The sequence below is a fragment of the Homo sapiens genome, chromosome 6 (genome assembly GCF_000001405.40).
Source record: "Homo sapiens chromosome 6, GRCh38.p14 Primary Assembly".
In the NCBI taxonomy this organism is placed as follows: domain Eukaryota; kingdom Metazoa; phylum Chordata; class Mammalia; order Primates; family Hominidae; genus Homo; species Homo sapiens.
In genome coordinates, this window is record NC_000006.12 from 152,349,955 (window position 1) to 152,367,757 (window position 17,803).

A 17,803-nucleotide genomic window follows, 5' to 3' on the forward strand; every position below is an offset into this window, starting at 1 on the left:
ACCTCTTTCTTTTGTAAATTGCCCAGTCTCAGGTATGTCTTTTTCAGCCATGTGAAAACGGACTAATACAGACCTGATTCTCTCAGTACAATCATTATAAACCAGAGATGCACCTGTGTGTGCACCCCCACACATGCACACACATGCACAGACACATGCGTACACACACTGGTGAAGCCATCCCAAAGGCAGCCCTTTAAAGGTCAGGGGTACCTTGTGGTGGGCCAATTGCTGGGTGATTGTCTCCAGGCTGCTTGTCTCCAGGAGGTCAGGTGCCACCAGTCTGCCAGACATCTGCAGCAGCCACTTTTCGACCTCTTGGAGCTCACTGTTGTAGTCTTCATGGTCTTTGACTTTCGCCTCCAGACTGAAGACATGCTCCTGCAAAACCAGGTGTCCATCAGAGATGACTTTCAAGTGAAAAACCTACTCAAAACTGTTTTGTATTACAAAAACCCAGTGCAACTCACAGGGTAGTTAGAGCTACTTAGAAAACTACCAGGAATGGAAAACAACATAGTCATTATGCCAATTAAATATCCATCTGAATAAAAAAAAATACTAACCCGTACCAGGCCTTAAAATTACATGACAGAGAGAAAGGAGTCAGGGCCCACATTTTGGAAAATAAACCCTTTTACGGAGTCTTTCATCTCTCCTTACCTTTCCTATGCTGCACAGGTCCTGGTAATCACTTTGAAGTTGATCTATTTTGTCCTTTAAAGTGACGTCCTGCACCAGTTCCAAAAGAGCTTCACCCTTCTCTCTCACTGACTTTACTGATGGTTCATGGGACAGCACCGTTTGTTGAAGTGACTTGAATTACAAAGAAAAAAAAATGAGCCTGCTCATCTCCGTGGACAAGATGAATACATACATATTCCCATGGTATGCAAGAGATGATCTACCTCAAAGAAAGATTGTTCATATTTATGAAGCAATAGGTGCAAGACATTAAAGAGAGAGTGATTTATTAAGACGAATACAGTTTCTAAATACAACAGCAGAGTCACACATCAAATGGCCCTTCCTATGTGGAGATAAAAGGATGGGAAATAGTTATATTTGTCTAAATTAAATATAGTTTATATTTCTGGCTTCTACCTTATTCCTTTCATCAGAGAAAAAAAATCTCAACATAAAAAGGCCACTATCTTTTGATTTTGAGTTCATGAAGTTAGTTCCAGTTTGAGCTATTTATGGAGTTAGAAAGAACAATTCCAGTTGTGACCTTGCTGAGATAGGCTAAAGGCACTATTTAAATCTATCAAGAACTCAGTGGCCAGGAGGAAGAGGTTGTGATTCTTATATGGCCTCTTCAAAGACAAGTTGTCGGGCTTGGCAGAGAAGCCAAGGATAGAAATAGACATTGGCTGGAAGAGGCCGTCACAGAAGCTTCCAACAGGGAAAGCTTTGGGGTAAGCCAGCACACTGTAATCCTTAAAAGGTATCACTCAATCATCCAGATCAAATTTATAACACAAATTATTCCACATATAAGCTTGCATAATTGCTTCAAAAATTTGAGTGGGTGAAGTACCTGTGTCTATGTCATGTATAGCTATAGCCACATCACTATTTATTCTTTCAAAAATCAGTTTCTAAGGAACTTAGCTCGAGTTTGTTAACTAGAACTTATTTTCTTATAAATATGATATGTCATTTTCAATTTACCATAGGTCAGTTTCTAGCCTTAGGTACCAGAAGATGAAGGGAAGCCTCAATATGGGAAAGATATGGGATCCTGATGCCAGCAAGATTTTACCTGGAGGATCCAAATACCTGGCTCACGCATCAGAAAAGGTCTTCATTGATTGACAGATACGTACAATCAATAAATATATTGATACAATCTTTGAGTATCAGATCTCTGAATGCAAAAATAACTCTGAGGTAGTGGATTTAACCCAATAAATCTCCATAGGTCATGGCATCACTGGTCAGCTGCAGAACGGACACATGCGGGATGCATTCCAGCAGCTGTTACGGGTGACACCCAGCAAGAATCACCTCCCTCCCATTTGGTCTCTGTGTGACCTCTGCATGCATCTGTCAATGAGTAAACACACTACCTTGTATTTAGATAACTGAGCTTTTTTCTCATATAATTCCATTTTGGGTTCTTCAGGAACATGTAGAATTTCCTGGTATTCTGCTATCCACTGTGTCAGTGCTTTGCATTTATCTGAGAATTCCTTTGCTAAATGAAGACCTTTTTCCAGCGTCATGTGTTCTTTCCGGACAGTGCTGGTCAGTTCCTTCAACTGCTCCATGTGATCATGAATCTCCTTTCTTAACCTCTCTGCCTCGCCTTCCTCCAAGTATTTAACAGCCCTCTCTCCTTTCTCCCGGGCTGATTTCAGCAAACTGTGACCTTTCTCCATGTCTTTGAGCAAAACCTGAAAAAGAGAGTGAGTAGGAGCAAAGGTAGTCTTGTTTCTTTTCTTTTCTTTCTTTTTTTTTTTTGAGATGGAGTTTCACTTTGTCACCCAGGCTAGAGTGCAGTGGCACAATCTTGGCTCACTGCAACTTCCGCCTCCTGGGTTCCAGCGATTCTCCTGCCTCAGCCTCCAAAGTAGCTGGGACTACAGGTGCGTGCCACCATGCCCAGCTAATTTTTGTATTTTTTAGTAGAGACAGGGTTTCACCATGTGGGTCAGGCTGGTCTTGAACTTCTGACCTCAAGCAATCCACCCACCTCAGCCTCCCAAAGTGCTGGGATTACAGGTGTGAGCCACTGTGCCTGGCCATTTCTTTTCCTTTTAAAGAAAGGTTTCTCAAGGCCTGTTTTTAAGTCCACCTATTTCCCTTTAAAATAAGTTGTTGACATTCATAACCAGATTTGACGTGCCAGGAATCAGGAACCTTGGCTTCTTTATTTCAATATAGGTTCTAAAAGTCTTGATCAATATATCATTTCCAAATCAGAGACTTGAAAAAGAACTTGATGTTTCTCTCATCCTTAGCAATCTCCTTCTAAAGACCTGAGTTTAAACTCTTTACAAGCACTGGGCCATTAATTTGAGAGAGAAAGTTTTCTCTTAATATTGAAGTGTCACACTGGAATTCAGTGAAGACTTTCATGGGTGTCCATGTGTAAGTCATTCTGATAACAACACATCATCAATAAGTGAAAGCTAGCTTTTGGCCTTAAGGAGCCAACTTAGTATTTCAAGTAAAATGATGAGCTCAGGATCACCAATCATAATGGTTGGGATGATCACCTGTGTTTCCAGTATCTATGCAGGAGAATGGGGCAGCTTGGTGAACGGAAAGGTTGGATACAAATCTGAAGTATGCGTGCCTACCTCCAACGTCTTCAATTTCTTCCCCATCATTACTGTATCTACTTTGTCAATCTTGGTAGCCACATTCTTGAAGTTTTTATGAGTAGAGCCATACCAATCAGAATAGGAACTGAGGGATGATTCTGATTCCTCCAAACTCTGAATCTCCTCCTCCAGGAATTTTATTTGTTCCTATGAAAGAAAAGAGAAAATTGAATGGTGAAGTAAAGGCCTGTGCCAGGGCCTTTGTTGATGAATATGTATCTTCACTGGATGTTAGTGAAAGGAAGGCTATTTTGGCTGGCGAAGTTTGCTGGTCTATGCTGAGCACCTGGTGACCCACTCACCAGCACTTGGAGAAGCAGGGCCTGGTATCTGGAAGTCAGCTGGGTGGCCTGGCAACCCATTCTGCTGTTCACGTGGCTCTCGTCCAGTATCTCCTGAGCTCTAGCTCCCACTTCCTCAACTTCATCTCTGTATGCAGTCACTTCTTCGTGCCACTTCTGAAATGACAAAGTATCGAAGGGAAAGATTCAATCTTAGCCATTCGAATAAGCCAAATGTATATCTTCTTATAGGAAATGGTTTCAGTGTAGGTTTAGAAGATGTTTATTTTGAGATTTAATTTTGAAAATGCCATATGTTATCTTCATAAATATTATATTACAACAATGTGATACAAACTGTACACTTGAGTTGGATAGTTTTCTGTATCTATTACACTTCAATTCAAAAATTAAAAATGAAAACAGGCCAGGTGCGGTGGCTCACGCCTGTAGTCCCAGCTGCTTGGGAGGCTGAGGCAGGAGAATCGCTTGAACCCAGGCTACAGAGGTTACAGTGAGCTGAGACCGCACCACTGCACTCCAGCTTGGGCGACAGAGCAAGACTCTGTCTCCAAAAAAATTAAATAAAATAAATAAACATGAAAACAAAGTGGCATAATTTTTTAGACCTCCTATTGTACCTAGATCAATTTTAAAATGGGTGGATAATGAAAATAAATTCCTAAGGCTCAAGCATTATTTTAGATGTGTGCACTAAAATTGCATAAAACTTAGAATAAAACTAATTCTCAAGTACTATTTCAATGAACTATATTGGAGCAATTTCATATCAGAACCATAAACTTAAATTATTGTAATACAAGCATTCATGTATCTTCACAAAACAAGGTAATAGGGTATGGAAAGAAAATATAAAATGGTTACATTAAACTACCTTGTATCAAAGACTAATTTATGAAATAATTGCTGTAAGAGGAATGCTCCATTGTGATTTATTTTAACTTTCTAGGTAATCAAAAAGATTTTGCAAAGCCTAAGCTTTGGATAAAAGTTACTAAATATCTTAATGAAACAAACTATGCAAGGTAACTGTAGCTTTGACAAAGATCAGGAATCTACATGAGTTGTACCTTCATCTGATGTAATTGTATCTCCTTGGTTGCCCTGTTAGACTGACGTCTGGTCCTGGGACTAACTTTCTCCTCTGCTGTTTTGAGCCATTCATCTACTTGCTGAAACTTTTGCTCCATTAGCCTCAATTTGTTCACCACGTTATTGAACTGAGTTCGAGTCTCGGACAGCCTGTGCTGGTAAGCCTGCCAGTCTTGCCGGAGAGACTCTAAAGCCCGGTCCTCTGCCTGTGGGATACCTGATGGGATCACATCCTCTCTGGTGTGCAGCACTGAGTTCAACAGGGCCTGCCCCTCTGCACAGTGTACCTGTAGCTCCTGCAGAGAAAAAGGTATGGCTGTCACTCTCAATCATATTTCACACTTGCATGGGTTAGCATGTCTTGCCCAAGCCAACTGTGCCCACTTGAACTTCTCATTAGAAAAAAATGATTTTATTATTATGCCCTATACAAAAATATGTCCCTAACCATATTTTCTCCGAAGTCAGAAGGATTCCTAAAACTTTTTCAATTAAAATAATCAACATACACACACACACACCCCAATATTTTTCTCAATCAACAGTTTCCCAAATTTGACTTTTTAGCTAACAGGCAAAAACACTTGTGAATAAAGGGCTATTGTTTAAAAGAATGACCTAGGCTTATTATAGCTCATAATCTGCTTAAAGTGACTTAAGCTTCTTGCTTTGACATTGAATAGCTCAGTGCTACATTTGTGACTGAGAAAGAAACAATGAACCTTCTGCTTCCTAAGGAGGAATCTTTTGCCAAAGCTGTACTCTAGGCATTGTGGTGGCCAAGAAAATTTGAAACTGGAGAGTGCAGGGCACACAAACTTGGGAAATTGGTTCATCACACCTGCCCACCAGGTGCTCTGAGGTGCAAATAAATTTCCTCCACCAAAGCCTAAACCCCAAAGATTTACCCTACAAATTTAGTATAAATCAAGTTTTGAAGAGCATATGCTATTTTTTATAGGACAAAAAGAATCTTATATCCTTAAAGATATTGGTAAAACAACATGGCACACTTATATTTCTGGTGATAAACATAAATCTATACTGTCACTTGATCTGATCACCCAAAGTAAAATAAATCAAGTCAAATCCCATCAACAATGTTAAAAATATCAGTATATGTAGTTAAAACATAGTATTTCTCAATACTATATTTTAAAAACCACTTAAGATTGCTAAAATATTTTTCTTACAAAAATAACATTCTCACATGGTTTCAACTAATAGAAAATTTTTCTTCAAATATGATGTCACTTCAAGCACAGTATAATGTAAAGACATATGCACATGGAAGGAGAAGAACTATAGATATACATGGTAAAATATTAATCAAATTGGCAACAAATACATAAACTTTATTCTAAAATTCTTAGACTTTTTTTCAAGATAATTTTTTATAATTATTTTCCTAATTCAAGGTTGGCAAACTTTTTCTATGAAAGGCCTGATAGTAAATAATTTGGATCTTGTGGGCCATAGGTCTCTGTTGCAATGACTTAACTCTGCCATTGTAGTATGAAAAAAACCACAGACGATACATAAATAAATGGGTGTGGCTGCATTCCAATAATATTTTATTTAAAAATACAGACACTGTGGCCCTGGACAGTAGTTGACTAATCTATTAATCTTCTCAACATCTTTTCCATAGTTCATAAGTAACCACTTTATCTATTATCCAAGTTAATATTCTATTAAATAAATTCTCATATATCCCAAATTTCAAGTCTGTATTCTGAAGGAAAAAATAGTTCAATATTTAAATAAATATATATATAATATTGTTAAATATATAAAATCTATAAGTAACATAAATGTGTGTATATAATATATTAATATATATTAATATATTAAAGATATTATATTAAAAATATATAAACTATATATATGTTCTATGACCCAAACTAGGCCTTCAGGTTATACAAAATAATTTCTGAATATGTTCCACATTACTGGCCAATCCCTACACCATGTACATGCTACAGAACATCAGGATCCTGAAGAAATTCTGCTTTGTGGTTGCAGCATCACAATTCTCCACCACTGCTTCCTGCCACTAGCATCTTCCTTCTTTTTTAACCTTTGTGGTGGCTCACAATAGAAAATGTAAGAATTAATGCATGGTGAAATCAGGGGGAGGTTAGGTTTGCACCACACGAATACCGGCTTAAGTGAAATATTTTCTTTTGACCAGAGCAACAGCAACATCTGCTGGTGATGGGTAACTATTGACTTAGTTCTACACAAAAGCACAGGGAGCTCAGCATTTGCTTACCAGTGATGTTGGTAGTGTAGAACTAAGAAGGGTTATGTAAAGAAAATAGTCAATTCTAGTCAAATAAATTACAACAGCTAAACCTGTGGATCCTACTCTTTGGAGGCAGGATGGATGAGACCCTTAAGTAAGCTAAGGAAATTGTGACCCTTCTAACTTTTAGTATTTACTTACTTCATGAGTAGACCGTATATTTAAATAAGATTTTCTTCCATTTCGGTTAATCCTTACAACTCTGTGGATGAAATTGGGTCAGAGAAGTTGTCTCTTGCCTGAAGTCACCTAGTGTTGGGTCCCATCAAGGATTAGAGTCCCAACTTCCCAATCCCAACCCCATTCTCTTGCCATTATACAATTTCCAAGAACTAGTAGAAAAAGCCAGAAATTTTATATGTGACTGATAATCATGATGGTCCCTGATTTTCCCACCTTGTTCAAGCTGTAGGTAAAACTTACCCAATCCTGAACCAACTCTGATCAGGACTGATGGCACATTTGTAAGTTCCAACACATCACTGGTGGGACATAAAGTGGTCTCATTGGCCTTCCTCCATCTTCTGCTGTTTGTTTTGTACATGGTGGCCCCTTCTTGGTGAACTTCCTTGATTCCTACCTATTCCTTAAGGTAAGTTTATGGGCCCTTCTTTGATGCTACCATAAGACCCCTTACATTAGTCTACTAATGTCCTCGCCATATTATTTATAATCATCTTTCTATGGGTTTGTGTTCCTCATCAGATTTCAAGTTTCTTGAAGACAGAAATCATATCTTAATCATCTTTGCCTGAAGTAGCTAGCAAAGTATCTGTACTGTATTAAGTATCCAGTAAATACTGAATGAGTAAATAAGTATATAGATTGTGACCACTTTCTCCACCATGTCTGGCATCTCACCGTGAATTATGGCCCGCTGGCCTGGGCACTAACACTTATTTTTTTTTACTTCTGTAATTCCTTCTTCTAGAACTCTGAGCCCGAACCGGTACCATCAGCAATGTGGCAGGTTTTGCTTAAAACTACATGGTTCAAGATATTGCCACTAGTTTGACTTTGTGTCACCTTCTAATGACTTCTGCCGCTGTCCCCCAGATCTGATGTGATCCCTTAGGGAGAAACAGGCAGGTAAGCCAGAAAACCCCATCAATTAGATCTCCAGCCATTTGTCAGGGCCACCCTAGCAGCTCCATGAATCCCCCAAGTGCTAGTCCTGTCCTACCTAAATTGCCTACAAAATGATGTCAACTAGCGCATACTGCTGAGGTCTCAGAATGTTCTTGATCAAACCTTATGGGGATTGCACTTAATGTGTATCAACTAGCCACTGGACTCAAGGTTTCTATTAACTTCCTATTGCCTAAAATAATAATTCCATATTCAGAATGAAGATTCCTTTGTTTTAGGATAAAGGAGGCCTTACCTGAAGATCACGCAATGTTGTCTCATGAGTGTGGGCATCACCTTCAAGAACTGAATACTGGTCGAGCTTTTCTTGTTCTTGCCCCAACCAAACTTCAAATGCCTTTAGGTCTCTCTGATACTCTTGGTGCAGGCGGACAAGTTTTTCAGACTTGGTTACGGCTTCCTATAATTAGCATTTAAAATAATGAAGTTAGGAACACATTACTTTATAAAGCATCAGTGTGCTGTAATTCACTTTTGTAATTTTAGAAAAGTATAATTATTGAGACATTAGAATATGAGTTATTTCCTAGAATCATGAATCTTCAATATTTATGTAAAAATATAAAAACCTAATATTTCAGGAATAAAAGTGTCATTAATTATTTTGTTGAATTAACTACATGATCTCTGAACACCTTATAAAATGTAACAGGCTAAGAAATGAATTCACTTTACTAATTTCATAAAAATTCACTTTTGCTAATGAAGAAAATTGAAATTCTTATATTGTGCCTTAAATGAAGATTTGGACGTACTGTGGATTAAATTTTCCATAGTAGAATGCGCTCTGAAAAAGCATATTTATTTTCTTTGTGAGGACTAAATGAAGAATGATTAATACTATCAGTGATTATTTCCCACCTTAGAAAACTCTCATCATCAGACATAATAAGGCATTTATGAGTCTTCAATTGAAGGTGTCCAGAATTTTTTTTAAGTTGGTACCTTTCTAGGAATTTTTAGTTGAAAATTATCTTACTTTCATAGCTTTCATAATACTAACAATATTTGAAGGTTTTTGATTTTGCCAGTAATTCCTTTAAAATATTAAAAATTCATTTTGCTTTTGTTCTGTTTTCCCAAGCCTGTCATTCTTGAACATAAATGAGTCTTTAAAGGAGCACAGCTCCAAACACTCCCCTTTTGGTGAGTCTACAAGGAAAGTGCTTTGCCGTACCTTGGCCCTCTCTTGGATGGCTCTGTATCGTTCCTGTAGATCCTGGAGTTCTAGCTGGGTGACATAGTGTTCTGTCATGCCAGCCCCTTTGACTTCGATGGTCTCCAGCAAGCTGCTGTAACTCAGCACTTCTTCATTTAATAACTAGAGAGCATTTAAGAAAAATAAAGTGGCCATTCATGCACCATCACATCAACGACACTGCTAAAATCAAGATATTTTAATTGTACAGTTGACAAGTGACCTCAGGTTATTTATTCGTCCACTCCTCCATCATTTTATCTATTTGACACAGATATGTGTGTGAATGCATGGGTGTGTGTGTGTGTGTGTGTGTGTATTTTATGTCTGGTCCAGAACTTTCTCTAACATATGAATTACCAATTAACTACTTTATATTTCTACTCTTAACATTTCAAACTGATTATGTCCAGAAATGGACCCCTGATGTTCACCCTATCCCTATTCTACCCCAGCCCCCATGAAGCCCCCTTCTCTTTCCATCTCTTTTCAAACAGCAAATGCCATGACCTCCCACCCAGACGGTCAACCCAGAACATGGGAATTGTTCCAGCGTCCTCTCTAGCTCTCCGTCCTCTAAACCATTAGGAAATCCTGTTAGCTCTACCTCCTATTATACTGCGACATCTGTCCCCACATCTCCTGCAAACTCCCCAGCCCAGGCTGCCCTCCTCTTTCACTTGGACTTTGCAGTGGTATCCCAGGCAGATTCCTGGCCACCAATTCTTTCCCTGTCCCTTATTTCATGCTCCACACAGCAGTCTAAGTGATATAATGTCTTGCAATTAAAAGTTGAATCGTGTCGCTTCTCAGCTTAAAACCTGGATTATCGTCCCAATGCTGCCGGGATCAAGTGGAAAATCCTCAGAGCAGCTGGCATGGCAATGGAGGATCAGGCTCTGTCTCTCCATCAAACTCCCCTTGCAGCCCCTCCCTGCCTACTCTCTGCTGCAACAACACCTGCCTGTTTCCTCACAGCTCCCCACTGCACCAGGATATTTCCCTCCACAGGGCCCGAGGACCTGCTTTTTATTCTATCCGGAATGCTGGTTCCTCAACTCCTCCCCAGGCTCATTTCTCTGGCTTAAATTCTTTAGTGCATGGACTATATGTCTGCTGTTTCAGAGAGGCCTTTCCTGTCCCTCTCCCTTGGCCTCAAACAAGCTGTATGAGCCTTTTCAAAATGATTCTCTCTCACACCACACTACTTTTTTTTTCTTCATAGTATTCAGCAGTTAAAATTATTTATTTGTACATTTATTACTGAGTGCATGCATCCCCACTAACATACGCTTGACTGTTTTTACTGCTAGAATCGGGCACAGTCCCTACATGTAGCAATTTCTCAATAAATGTTGATTGAATAGATGAACAATCCAATTAATTAAGCAATTAATTATTATAACAGATAATACATGCAGGTATTTATGAAGCAGATAATTATAATTATATTATTTTATGGATGCATAAATGAGACCCAGAAACATTAAGTACCTTGGCATAGGTCACATAAGATCATTTAGTCATTTAAATAACTTTTATTCAGCGTGTGTTCTGTGTCAGACAGAGAGCCAAGTGTTGAGGATATAAAGAAAATTAAGCATCTCTATTCACTGAAGGAGAGGGACATGCAAATATATATGAAATTGATAAAGAGCTTTGAACCAAGGGCTATGAGAGAACAGAACAATGAATCAAGCCTGAGCGGTGGTGGTGTAGCATAGCTAAAATGACTTCAAAATTCATTCAGAAAGATAAGTAGGAGGTTGCCAGGGGCAGAGACAGAGCAAGGACCTTCTGTAAAAAGAGAAGAGATTATGCAAAGACACAGAATTGTGAAGATTGTGGCATGTTCAGGAGATAGTGTGAGATTCAGCAAGGCTGGAGAGCGCAAGGGAGGAGGCTGGGAGCATGAAGGAAAGGAGCATGGCAGAGGAGTTTATTTCCATTCTTACAAACCAGGTGACGGAGATTGAGCTTATCCTGTAGACAATGGGAAGCCAACACAGGACCTCAGGCAGGAAGTGAGACATTCATCTTTATAGGAGATAACAATAGATGGAGGCAAGAAACAAGGTGAAAAATTAGGAGTCTGTTCCAGTTCAGGTGAAGAGGATGGATCAGTAGGACCTAGTGCCAGATGCAAAGTGGCAATGAGAAAGAAGGCACTGAGAATAATGAGGTTTCCAATGTAATATATTCAGGGTGAGGTGATACAAATGAGCAGGAATAGAGAATGTGAGAGGTTAAAGGATTTCTGTGTAGAAGATCACAAGTGCTGTTTAGGATAATGGTAAGGGGGTGATGGAACAGGCTGACCGATGATCATGCCCTGGAGTGAGGCTGCAGCTATAAACCAAAGGACTGTAAAACTTCATGTTTGAATACTACTGCCAATAAGTTTTAAGAACATGCCATTATTTATTTATTTAAAAAAATCTTTCCATGTAGTACTGTACTAATGTAAGCATTATGACGAATGCACAAAAGATAACACAAAGGGATGTGATAAAAAAAAAAAAAAAAGGAAGACTTCCTAATGATGAGCAGGCTGAAGACATTAAAAGATATTTCATGGTGCTACATTTTAAATGGTTTGTATCATAAAACATGGATCTACATGGTTTTCCTGGAAGGAAAAATTTTCACTCACTAATAAAGTAATCACAAATGAAAGTCCAGTTTAAGAAGCCTTTAGAGATTATACTAAAAGCCCCAAACGTAATTTGCTTATGTGCACTGCCCTAGGGTACACGTAATCCCATTTTTGTCTGACTGTGGCATTCTAAAGAAGCCTGTGAGAAAACACATGGAATCTGAAATCCAGCTCTCACCTTGGCTTTTCCGAGCATCGTTGTTTTATCCCGCAGCTCCGCATGCTGCCTTTCTGATTCATTCAGGTTGGCTTCCATACTATCCATCCAACCGGAGAACTGTCGAACGCCATCCTGATAACTTGTCCACTTGGAGAGAGCTCCTTCGAGTTGGCTGAAAGGGATTTGAAAGGACAATAAATCCACATTGAGAATCCTTAGGAGTCTAAAATGTCATTGTGTCTGCTCCATCCACTCCAGTAAGCAAGGGGTCAAGAGATCAGGAAGAAGCTTGCTTGGGAGTGAGCAGGCTGCCCAGGGCTTAAGGACACTGAGTCCAGGTCTGAAGGGCAGCCTCAGGAAGCAAGGAACATTTAAACCCAGGCCAATATGCAGAAACATGGAACTAGCTATCAACTCAAGAGTCAGCGGCTGGGGGGACACGAGACACTGGGGGAGCCTCAAAGGCAAAACTGAGAGAGATCCCCTGAGTGGGTCTTTTCTGGAGCCAAAGCTCTGGGCAGGGAGAGAAGCAACACTTAACTCTATCAAACCGAGCAGGACATTGAGAGCAGGAGAGAAAAGTAAGAACAGTAACCACCTTACGTGAGATTAAATATCAGAAAATCGTAATGAAATAAAAGGACAATATTTCCTGACTTGGTCTAAATAGTAAAACTTAATTATTTATTTTATCGATAAGTTAAGCACTTCCCTTGTCTCAATACACATGCTAGTTTTTTTTTTTTAAGACAAAGTCTTGGCCGTCTCACCCAGGCTGGAGTGCAGTGGCGCGATCTCGGCTCACTGCAAGCTCTGCCTCCCGGGTTCACGCCATTCTCCTTCCTCAGCCGCCCGAGTAGCTGGGACTACATGCCCCCGCCACCATGCCCGGCTAATTTTTTTGTACTTTTGGTAGAGACAGGGTTTCACTGTGTTAGCCAGGATGGTCTTGATCTCCTGACCTTGTGATCTGCCTGCCTCGGCCTCCCAAAGTGCTGGGAATACAGGCGTGAGCCACCACACCCGGCCTACACATGCTATATTTTAAATTTCATTAATCAGGCCGGGCGCGGTGACTCACGCCTGTAATCCCAGCACTTTGGGAGGCCAAGGCGGGTGGATCACGAGGTCAGGAGATCAAGGCCATCCTGGCTAACACAGTGAAACCCCGTCTCTACTAAAAATACAAAAAATTAGCCGGGCATGGTGGCGGGCGCCTGTAGTACCAGCTACTCGAGAGGCTGAGGCAGGAGAATGGCGTGAACCCGGGAGGCGGAGCTCGCAGTGAGCCGAGATCGTGCCACTGCACTGGAGCCTGGGCGACAGAGCAAGACTCCGTCTCAAACTAAATAAATAAATAAATAAATAAATAAATAAATAAATAAATAAATATAAAAATAAATAAATTCCATTAATCATTTCTGCCTAATTGTACTACCAGGTTTTGGGTCCTTTTGTAGCAGACACTGTAAGTGCTCCATCCATCCACACCCCCGGATCACACCACTGCAGCACAGTCCAGTTGGACTTCTAATTGCTCCTAGATCTCTTAGCTTGAAGACATTCTCTAGCCCCTGATGTACTCTCAGTTTGAGGGCAATATAGGCACAGGGGAGCCTCACCCTGAGGGGCAGCCCTCAACTGCTCTTCTAATTCATATGAGTTTGTCTCTAAATACTCCAGATCCCCTGCCCTTGGATGGGATAACTGGGGCTCACACTGTATACCAGCTCCCAGCATTGCCTGACTGGATTAAGTTGCAGTTGCTCACAACGGTGGGCAACTCGCTTGATAACATACCTGATATGGTTAAGCTCTGTGTCCCCACCCAAATATCATCTTGAATTGTAGTTCCCATAATCCCCACATGTCATGGGAGGGACCCAATGGGAGGTAATTGAATCATGGGGGTGGTTTCCCCCATGCTGTTCTCGTGATAGTCAGTGAGTGTTCATGAGATCTGATGATTTTATAAGGGGCTTTTCCCCTTTTGCTCAGCACTTGTCTCTCTTGCTGCCATGCGAAGAAGGATGTGTTTGCTTCCCCTTCCGCCACGATTGTAAGTTTCCTGAGGCCTCCCCAGCCATGAGGAATTGGGAGTCAATTAAACCTCTTTCCTTTATAAATTACCCAATCTCAGGAATGTCTTCCTAGCAGAGTGAGAACGGGCTAATACAACACCCTTTACTTACTGCCCTCCCCCTGCCTGCCATTTCTTTCCCACTCCTCTATTTGTATTTCCTGGGTTTACCTCCCAAGTCCACTACTTGGTTTTAATCCTTATATTTTTACATTATGAATCTTTTTTTTTTTGTATTTTTATGTTAGCAACAACAACAAAAAGAAACATGCATTTTTAGTTATATTACCACATTGGCACAGTATTCAGGTCAATCTAAATGTGAGATTACATCTGCCAGTTTCTTTTGTTCTAATAAGAAAAAAGAAAGAAAAAGAAAGAGGAATCAAGAGAAAACAGGGGGAAGGAAGGAAGAAAGGAAAGGGAGTGAGGGAGGGAAGGAGGAAGGAGGAAGGAGGAAGGAAGGAAGGAAGGAAGGAAGGAAGGAAGGAAGGAAGGGAGGAAGGAAAGGAAAGGGAAGGGAAGGGAAGCCGGCCACAGGAATGGTCTGTTCAGTAGTATTATATTGATCTTTTAGTAATAGCTTCCCCAGTGCTTGGCTGTAGTTTCCCTCACCTTTTACAACGAATCCCTGCAGACAAAAGGGATGCCCACATATCCTTCACACTCTGCAGCTGCTGCTGAATAGTGGGAATGCCTTCTGGAGAAGTATTCTGAAGGACAGATTCTCCCCTGGTCACTATCATTTTCATCTGAATCTCTTTTTCCTGTTTGACTGATAATAGAGCCTGTGAAAACACATACAGAAGTCCTTTGTCATTTGTATGTTTAACATTGCTGGCTTTAAATATTGCAGAGCTCCTAAAGATCACAGAATAATATGCAATTGTGCCCAGCCCTGGAGCTCCCAGTCGGCTGAGACAGAGGGTGGGGAAGTGGCTTGCTGGTGAATGCCAGTCACCAGCTACCCGCTGGTTTTTACTAAGTGGCCTTGGTGTTGAAGGTCTGCAGTCTTCTCTGAATAATCCCTTCCTTCCAATGAAGTTTTACTTTACTGGTTTTAACAAGGGAAAAATATAGTACAGTAGAATTCATGATTTCTCAAAGGTTATAGGATGAAGAGCTTATAAATGTTATGGTCTCTATAACCAAAAAAACCCATAGAAATAGATTATATATTTCATGTTCTTCATAAGTACTATTCTTTTTCTATGTGAGAAGGAAGTTTCTTCTTTTGCTTTTTTTAGAGACAGAGTCTATCTTTCTCTCCCAGGCTTCAGTGCAGTGGTGTAATCATAGTTCACTGCAGCCTCAAACCCCTGGGATCAAGCGATCCTTCTAGCTCAGCCTCCTTGGTAGCTGGGACTACAGGCATATGCTGCCATGGCCAGCTAATTTAAATGTTTTTTTTTTTTTGTAAAGGTGAGGTCGATGCCCAGCCTGGTGTTGAACTCCTAGGCTCAAGCAATCCTCCCACTTCAGCCTCCCAAAGTGCTGGGATTGTAAGTGTAAGCCACTGCGCCCGGCCAGAAGGAAGTTTTAATTCCAAGTTATAAAACTGATAATGTTGCCTAAAAGACAAAGCTTCATCTCTTTTTATAATGTGGTTCTTGCCAACTTCCAAAGCCTCAGCTTCAGCCACCCATTGCCACCAGTTTCTGCTGTGGCAATAAGCAACTGGTAGAAATTTCTCACACACTACGCTGTTCTTTCCTCTGGCTGTTCCTCACACTTTTCCCCTCTCTGCCACCATTCCCAAGTCTCCACCCAGTTATCTTTGCCAAAATAATTCTCCCTATCATTCTTAAAAACTTGGTTTTGCCCGGACGCGGTGGCTCACCCTGTAATCCCAGCACTTTGGGAGGCCAAGGTGGGCAGGTCACCTGAGGTCGGGAGTTCGAGACCAGCCTGACCAACATGGAGAAACCCCGTCTCTACTAAAAATACAAAATTAGCCAGGCGTGGTGGTGCATGCCTGTAATCCCAGCTACTTGGGAGGCTGAGGCAGGAGAATCGCTTGAACCCAGGAGGCAGAGGTTGCGGTGAGCTGAGATCACACCATTGCACTCCAGCCTGGGCAACAAGAGCAAAACTCCGTCTAAAATAAAACAAAACAAAAACCAAAAACAGAACAAAAACTTGGTTTATAGCAGGGCGCAGTGGCTCACACCTGTAATCCCAGTACTTTGGGAGGCCAAGGCAAGAAGATTGCTTGAGTTCAGGAGTTCAAGACCAGCCTAAGCAAGAAGGCAAGACTCTGTCTTAATTTTATTAAAAAAAAAAATTTAAACCCCACACAACTCGGGTTACCTATCACACTTCCTAAGAAATCTCTCCCAACTTTCAACCCCATCCCTTCTGCACGGTTCCACTCCTGTGTATGTCTATAACACCATAAATACATCTGCATCTGTGGTTGTTGTCTTCTATATTTCGACCTCCAACTTCAGACAGTAAAACCCCTGAGGAAAAAGACTATGTTATTCACCTTTGATTCCTTGGTGTCAAGACAGAGTGCCGGTCTCCTAGAAGGCACCCAGTATACAAATGAATGCAGACTCATTATTTTCTTCACAAATGCGAAAATGAACTCATAACTTGGGATGGGAGGAGAATTGGCTAAATACAGGAAGACAAGTGAGTGGAAAAAGATGGAAAATGTTTTGCCCTATAAAATGTTTCCTCAAAATATTTTCCCATAATGAATATGTCTGTGATCTCATTTAAAACTAGCCTCTTAACAAGTGATCACACAAGTAATCACATTCGGGCTTTATTTTATTTTATTTTTTGGAAAACATCCGGGGTCAGATGATTCAGGAATTCTCTGGCATGTGCACCCAAGGCAGACAGCGTTGCACTCACAAAGCATCTGAGATTTATCATGGAGAGAATGTGACATCATCACCCCAGGTGGATGGAGACGGGAAATTTTGAGAAAAACAAATTCTGTAGGTTGGAGATATTTCTGTGTAAAGATGCACACCTCGAGCTTGAGCGTCCTGCTGTCCAGCACACTTTTGTCGGATGTCGGGTGGCAGTATGAATCCAGCATGTGAATCGCATCCGTCATCCAGTCTTGTAATTCTTTAATCCCAAGAGAGAACTGATTGTGTTCTGCAACGATTCTATCCAGTCTTGACACTTTCTCCTGGAAATGACAGAAATGGTTTTCGAGCTGTCCATCCCACAGAGACAAACTGCAAAGCTAACAGTTTGTTTGAAACAAAGGCAATCAGTCATGGCTTCATACGCTGCACAGATACGAGGCAAGTCTGGCCTAAATCTATGAGATATGTTAAAGATCTTTCTAAATCATAAAACTATTAGAATAACTGGGTCAAAAGCAAAAAAAAAAGTTACAATTTTATGCCTCTCCAATTCTTTATGACTATCATGATTATTTTAAATCAGTAAAATTTCTCCCTAATGCCTTGTCTGGGAGACTGGTCAAAGTAGTTTCTAGTTTTCACATATCACATTAGGCTCACCTGACACAACAACCCACATGACCTACATTGTAGCC

At 40.6% G+C, this 17,803-nt stretch overlaps 1 protein-coding gene across 49 annotated transcripts in view; it reads right to left on the reverse strand.

Moving 5' to 3' along the window:
• The window catches only part of SYNE1 (spectrin repeat containing nuclear envelope protein 1), a 515,676-nt gene that overhangs the window by 228,268 nt on the left and 269,605 nt on the right, over window positions 1-17,803 (reverse strand). For 48 of the 49 annotated variants that reach the window (XM_047418508.1, XM_017010610.2, XM_017010609.2 and 45 more), the window contains 11 exons: window positions 17,264-17,428; window positions 14,893-15,065; window positions 12,216-12,369; window positions 9,361-9,504; window positions 8,419-8,583; window positions 4,705-5,022; window positions 3,635-3,790; window positions 3,309-3,479; window positions 2,073-2,399; window positions 664-816; window positions 214-381 (listed from right to left, as the gene is read on the reverse strand). In XM_047418508.1, the coding sequence (XP_047274464.1) occupies window positions 214-381; window positions 664-816; window positions 2,073-2,399; window positions 3,309-3,479; window positions 3,635-3,790; window positions 4,705-5,022; window positions 8,419-8,583; window positions 9,361-9,504; window positions 12,216-12,369; window positions 14,893-15,065; window positions 17,264-17,428 (2,094 nt within the window). The remainder of the gene's footprint in view (window positions 1-213; window positions 382-663; window positions 817-2,072; window positions 2,400-3,308; window positions 3,480-3,634; window positions 3,791-4,704; window positions 5,023-8,418; window positions 8,584-9,360; window positions 9,505-12,215; window positions 12,370-14,892; window positions 15,066-17,263; window positions 17,429-17,803) is intronic. The other variant, NM_033071.5, reaches the window with a different exon arrangement.